The 7,341-nt window shown below is 41.4% G+C and overlaps 1 annotated feature.

The window, feature by feature from the left end:
* Positions 3,787-3,984: a silencer, noted in NCBI's record as "fragment chr9:111324635-111324832 (GRCh37/hg19 assembly coordinates)". NCBI's record gives its function as "represses an EF-1alpha promoter that drives an FKBP-Casp9 reporter gene in an ReSE screen in K562 erythroleukemia cells {active_cell/tissue: K562}" and the evidence as "EXISTENCE:reporter gene assay evidence [ECO:0000049][PMID:32094911]".

Here is a 7,341-nt window from a genome sequence, read left to right on the forward strand (position 1 = left end):
CCTTTGCCTTCCACCATGATTGTAAGTTTCCCGAGGCCTCCCCAGCCATGCTCCTGTACAGCCTAAAGAACTGTGAGTCAGTTAAACCTCTTTTCTTGATAACTTACCCAGTCTCAGGTAGTTCTCTATAGCAGTGTAAAAACAGACTAATATGTTTAACTTTGCATGCTCAGATCATAGGAGGTGTCATTAGATGTCACTGAGTGAATGGATAGATGAATACCAACTTATCTATATATGTAACTGAACTAGCACAACTGCTACTGCTATTCACATAAATGACCACAACTACCAAACTTACAGCTAATGTTTACTTGTTAATTATAAAACTATGATATTGTGCAGTGTTTCTCACAGGACGAGAAACAACTTAAGAATTTTTAAATTATGGTGACAGAATTCTACACGGACACAATGTTAAATAATGTTGGGCATGTTGGAAAAGTTATTTCTTTTCCAATTCTGTTTCAGACCTTCCAGTGATGTAAAGGAGAAAATCTCAGTCTGATGCCCTGTGATTTTAACACCTCTCTAAAACCATGCTAAATTTTTTGAACAAAGAGAGGGTAGATCTTAGGCTCAGAGACTTCAACAGAAATTAATACTTAGCTAAGATATAATAACAGTGCTTCATTCTCATTGTTTTTATTTTCATGGTTACTTTCCAATTAGAGAAAGCAATATTAGTGTTTTTATTTACTGTAGTAATATAAAGTTTTCTTGTTAAATGTATTTAAGCTAAACATTAGTCAGTTTAAAGAAACAGAAGAAAGAAATAATATTAGAGGTAGTTTCAAATATTGCAGAAATAGTGAGGATGGCACCCAAGTGCCCTGCTAGAGTGGATAGAGCTCTAGGCTTAGAAGGCAAAAGGCCTGAGGGGAATCATAAGTCTTTTGCTCTTGGGTAAGTTACTAAATTTCTTTGAGCTTTTTTTTTTTTTTTTTGAATTGGCAGAGTATGACTAGTAGTTGCAACTTTTCCTATTTAAATTTTTTGTGAAAATCAGATTAAATTATGTGCATGGAAATGCTTTGGAAATGGATAGAGAGTTACAATATTAAGATCTAAACAACTCAGCTATGACACACTGCACCATTCCTTCCCATCCTGCATACCCAGCGTGGTTGAAATTTAATTGAGTTGAGTTGAAGATGTTCACTTGTGCCCGTGAATTTAATCCTCCTCCTTCCCAAAATCCTGTTAAAATGACCAAAGCCATTTTTATGTAATAAAATATCACAGGAATGGTGTTATTAACCAATCAAAATACATGAGGAATTTTTGCCAGATGTAGGACATACCAGGACCATTAAAGAAATCACTGAATTGATCGACAAGCCCACCACCCAAGAAAAATAAAGGAGACAACCACAGGGCCAGTAACAGCATCCCCAACTCAGCCCCCACACCCTGAGCAACAGGGGCAGGAGGCCCCATTACACTGGGATGAGGACAAAAAGAAAGGGCCAACCTCAAACCCACAAATGACTTCTGGAAACTACCTTAGTCCAGGCAATCAAATTGGGGTCGGGGAGGGGCACTGGAGGGGTAGGGAGACATCACAGTCATTTCCAACCGCCAGCCCCACAGAAAGAGAATAAAAACATTAAATAAAGAAGTGATCTTTCACTTACAAACAACTGGCCCTCCAATTTAACAAAATAAAACTACAAGAATCTAAATTTTTCTTCTTTTTGCCCCTTATATCGTCATCAGGAAACTCCAACCAGGAATCTATAGAATGTATGGCCACCTCAACTTCAGATCCTGAATGAGTTCTCTGAGGATTTTGAGCTCATGGGAAGCTTAATATGAGACACTAGAAGAATGGCTCTGCCCAAAAAGTCAATAGTATTTGAAGCTCTATTGCTAGGACTAGAGTGTTAAGAAGAAGGGAGGTAGACAGGTGTGATCTGCTTTGCACGGATTAAACTTTACTTGTGGTAATTCCTCTAACCAATTCTAAATCCATGCATAATAAAGGCTGTTTAAAACATCATATGTCTGGAATCTCTCCCCCACCTCACCCTTCCTTCTGCCTCAGTAGTAAAAACCTGAGCCTAAGACAGGAGAGAAGAGGAGAAATTAAGGAAGTCTGAATGGGCTGAGTTAAACAGTTTTTCAGAATTTTGACGAAGAAAGATAAGAGACTAAAGTTAAAGCAGAGAAAAAAGAAAAAGACAGTAAATATAAATTTCTTACATTTTGCTGTTAGGAAATGATCCCTTTGAGGTTTTGTTTTGTTTTGTTTTTGTTTTTTGAGACAGAGTCTCACTCTGTCGCCCAGACTGGAGTGCAGTGGTACAATCTCGGCTCACTGCAACCTCCGCTTCCCAGATTCAAGCGATTCTTCTGCCTCAGCCTCCAGTGTAGCTGGGACTACAGGCAGGTGCCACCACACCTGGCTAATTTTTTATTTTTAGTAGAGATGGGGTTTCACCATGTTGGCCATGCTCATCTCGAACTCCTGACCTCAGGTGATCCACCGGCCTCGGCCTCCCAAAGTGCTGGGATTACAGGCGTGAGCCACTGTGCCTGGCCTTGAGGTTTTCAAATAATTTTATTAAATATCTAAATGTGTTCTCAATCACTTTTGGTTGTGGACAAAGACTTGGAGTGTGACATGAGCCCTCCCCGCCTTAACTGGGTCACACATACTTCAAGAGGGATAAACTGGAGGGTGTTCAAAGCACAGTGGCTCAAGTGTGAAGCCCTGAAATGGTGTTGCATGAACAAAACCTTGAAGAAATGGGCTACTTAGCTGACAAAAGGACAAGACTTGTGAGCAGGGGCTGAAGGAATGTATTTGTTCTACCCTAAGAGGGAGAATTGGGACAACTGGTAGAAACTGTGGCAGGGACAGAAATCTGCTCGATATTAGGAAACAATTTTTTTTAACTGAGAGTGCTGTGTGAAGCAGATTGAGCTTCCTAGGCTGGAGACAGGGATTGGAGATTACCTGTCAAAGAAAATACCCAAATTCGGTTTGTAGAATCTCTTCAATGGGACAGTTCAAGCAAGAGGGAGCTGGGGAATGAGGCTTGGTTTAATGATTTTCCTAACAGATACAAAGATGGGGGTGATGAGAGAAAAGGAAAAAAGTAACTGAATTTTAAAAGCCCAAAGTTTTAAGGCCAATAGAGGCCCCAAGACCAATCTTCGGATGCCAAGGACATTTTTCCTATTAGATTCATCAAAAAAGACATTCTCTTTTGCTAAACAAAAGAAGTTCCCTTCTGTTCTCTCAAAAGAAAAATAAGCAAACACTAACTATCCTCTAACTTGCCTGTCCAATTCTCCTGCCTTGGAATATCGCCCTAGACATAGTTCTATCTCCTCTCTGATGACAAGTTATACTTTCACTGTCTCACTGTATTCTGGCCTGAGAAAGACCTGGGGTTTGCCTGGTCAGCCCAGGCTACAGCTGACAATTTGCAATGTTGCCGTGGATTAAATACAGACTCCCAGAAGACAAATTCTCTTCTCCCAAGGGTGTCTGCCTCAGCAATTTCATCTCAAATGGAGAGTAAGACTGAACCAAACTCAGAGAATCCCCAGAGGAGGCTAAGGCCAGGAGTCAACACCAGCAGCTGAAATCCCCAGAAGAGATTGCAGACAGGAGCTGGGTCTTCTCCATCCCTGAACTAAGACTCAGGCAATAGCTGGCTGAGCGTGACTCAGAAGACATATCTGTGCCTGTGAACAAAGCCCAGGCCTTTGGGCTGCATGATCATCACATGACACTCACACCAGTGTGCCAACAGGTGAGCTGCTGTGACTAGCACATCAGATTTCTTTCTGTCCAGGCTTTCTGCAGAGTCCGCTCCTCACAGGTAAGGCAGGAAATCTGAGTAAGGCAACAGCAGCAACCGCAATGAGTCAACAATAGGATGAGTGAATATGCACATGAGGACCTATGACTGCCTTGTCCTGGGGAGGCTCAGGAGATTCACAGAAAAAGGAGAGATGGCCCCTGCCCTTAAGGAGCTCACAGTCCATTGGGAAAACAGTCACATGATCTCATCCTGGTAACATAACGGGGGGACACCCTCATAGAGGTGAGACCTTTGAGGGAGCACAGATAAGGGAGTGATGGATTATCCCTGGGTAGCTCTCCTGGGCATTATATCATCCGAGCAAGAAAACGTGTAGTAAGGAGAGGAAAAAAAAAAAAAAAAAAAAAACATGAGAAAATGCACAAAGGCAAGACATTTGCTTCAGCTATTTGCGGTAATAGTTTGAGTTTCATTTATTATAGAATTAAATACAAATGAAACTTCTGTAGATGATGGCCCCAATACTAAAAGTGTTTTGGTAGGTAGAATCAATGCCTTCCACTGATGGGACACCAGTGAACACTGATTGGTATCCCAGAAACAGATGTAAATTTCTATCCCAGAATGTAAAGTCTATCCCAGAAATAGACTCCAGAGCAAATTACATATATCTATCATGTCAATAAACATACACAAGGAATAGTAAATAAGGAAGGAAAAAGAAGGCTTCTTTTGGTTACAGAGTATTCAATTTAAAAAAGTGTCTGCCAAGCACAGACTTCCACTATGGGGGCAGAGCAGTAAAAATGACGGCACTGAAGGGCAGTGACTGGGAAAATGCTGGAAATGTGAATAGGTCAGGTCGTTAAACATGGACATAACTTCTTTCACTCTCTATAGGAACACTGAGTAAATACATGAGAGGTGAATTTCCATCAGAATTCAGCTGCCTCAGCCCTGACCAATGACCAATTTAGATGAAGATGTTTGACAAGACATAGTGGATCATGCTTCTAGTGACAGATCTGCAGGCTTTTGTCCAGGATAAACACCTTCAGCAAAACCATCCTTTCCTGACCTCCCAGGAGACTGTGGGATGCCTACTGAATGGAGCTACCTGCATGACCTAGATTTTTCTCCTTATAAATTTTAGAAAGAAAATCACATCACGGGTCACCAAATGAGCTGTCATTGACTTGGTCAAAGAAAAATCCATGGGCCGGGCACAATGGCTCACACCTGTAATCCCAGCACTTTGGGAAGCCAACAGGGGCAGATCAACTGAGGTCAGGAGTTTGAGACCAGCCTGACCAACATGGAGAAACCCCATCTCTACTAAATATACAAAATTGGCTGGGCATGGTGGCGCATGCCTGTAATCCCAGCTATTCGGGAGGCTGAGGCAGGAGAATTGCTTGAACCCGGCAGGCAGAGGTAGTGGTGAGACGAGATTACACCATTGCACTCCAGCCTGGGCAACAAGAGTGAAACTCTGTCTCAAAAACAAAGACAAAACCATAAACAAATGATAATTCCAGCAAACGCAGGTAACATTGCTCTATTATTTTATCCCATTTTACTGGAGGTGGAGGAGGCAAATAGAACAACATGCTTTTCTTCATATTTCATTTTTGAAAGCTATTTGAGGATAGTTATCTCTCTCAGATCAAAAGAGGTGGTTTTGGAGTAACAGAAAGTGCAGTAAGTAGGTCAAAGGGTTGTTTGTTTGTTTGTTTGTTTTAAAAAGCTGGGTTTACCTTACAGCCTCTAAATTTTCATCCTGAGCAGGTCACTCTGCCTCTCTGGGTCCATTTCCCAAGATGATCTTCTCATTTACCACACTTTTTTTTTTTGAGAGACTATGACTTCCAGGCTGGTTGATAGATTCAATCTTAAGATTCAGATAAAAATTTCATTCATTCATTTACTCAATAAATATATTGAACTCCTATTATGTATCAATAATTGTCCCAGACATTGTTTCAGATTTAATGAGTTTCCTCATTCTTTGCTCCAAAGAGAACTTGAGGCAGCTTGAAATAATAGTTCAGTACAATAAATACCAATTTTGAGAAAAATAAACTGAAATCAGGCATCATATAACCACATATGTGTAACATAAGGTCCTTCTTAGTTATTTGCTAGAGATAGGCCACTAGTTATTTGCTAGAGGAGACTAATTGTCTCTGAGCTTGCTAGCAGCCAATGCAAAGAGGGAGACACTATCTATTTCATAATTTTCTGGGTCTAAAAGATACAAATAACATCTAAGCTATTTCTGATACTGAGATCGAATATTTAATGTCAGTTTGTCATAAATACATCAAGCTACAGAAACCTTAATTCAGCAAACATTCACTCACATCTACTCTTGTGCCAGGTATTATAATGAGTGAGATGAGTAAAATCTAGTCTGTGCTCTTCAAGTTTTTCATGTTCAAAAACTGCAGATCAGGACTCGTAGACCGTCACTGTCAATTCCTCCCCATTCCTGAAGATGCCCCATCAACCCACCATGATGTTATGAGGCAACCTTCTAGAAATCTTCCTAGCTTAGGGAAAATTCCAGCAGTGTGTTGAAGCTGGGCATACAGAGATGGGGAGATGAGGGCAGGAATGGGGTGTTCTCTGTGGTTAGGAGACACAATGTCCCGTCTCCACCCATTGCAGCTCTAGAATGTGTATCTAGAACACAGCACATGGAATTTGCGGATGTTTTTTAAAGTCTTTATCATCAACAAAAAATCTGCTTTGCAATGCTTTAAAATGCCACCATTGGCAAATGAGAATCATCTGACCTGAAAGAAGCTGAAGGCCCCCTCTGTCCTGTCTAGAGGGCTGTGCTAATGCCAGGCCAAGGTAACCCATTTCTCCCCAGAACAGCCAGATTGCTCCTGGGTACACAGAAGTTGACTAAGAAAATATACTGCCCTTCAAAGGATCTGCTCTACAGATCTTTGAAGGCACCAATTTTATTGTCCTCATTGTCCCAAGAAAGCATCCCATCAAAACCCATTAAACAAAAGTGAGTCATGAAGCAGACGAGTGACTTACTCAAGGCCATACAAGGCAGAGTAGGAACTCGACTGCAGAAACACTCCACAACATGCCTAGACCCTATTTGGGATTTTAAATCTCAGCTCTGTTGGGACTGTGGCTTCCTGAGTATAGAGACCATGTCTTCATGTCTCGTTCATTTCTGCAGCCTCAGTGGCCTATCCTATGCCTGGAACAACATTAGGAGGTCACACTGTGCTGTTTGCATTCGGTTCTTACAACCCAGGGGTGGATGGACTCTATCTAGCACAGACTATCAATGCTGGAAGCACACTGGAGCACCTGGGAAATGTTAACAAAACATGGATATGTGGGCCCCACCCTGAACCAAGTGAATCAGAACTGCTGATCTAGCTCTTAAAGTACCAAAGCATGGCCATCTTGCCTCGGGCTGAAGCCCAAAGTCACAACAGATCTCCAAATGCATTGTTCTTTGAAGGTTAATTCCATTGGGATGTCCTTGCCAAGGCTTTCCCCATGGTAATCCCAGAATATTCTTCAAAAA

Source organism: Homo sapiens, chromosome 9, assembly GCF_000001405.40.
Source record: "Homo sapiens chromosome 9, GRCh38.p14 Primary Assembly".
Lineage (NCBI taxonomy): Eukaryota > Metazoa > Chordata > Mammalia > Primates > Hominidae > Homo > Homo sapiens.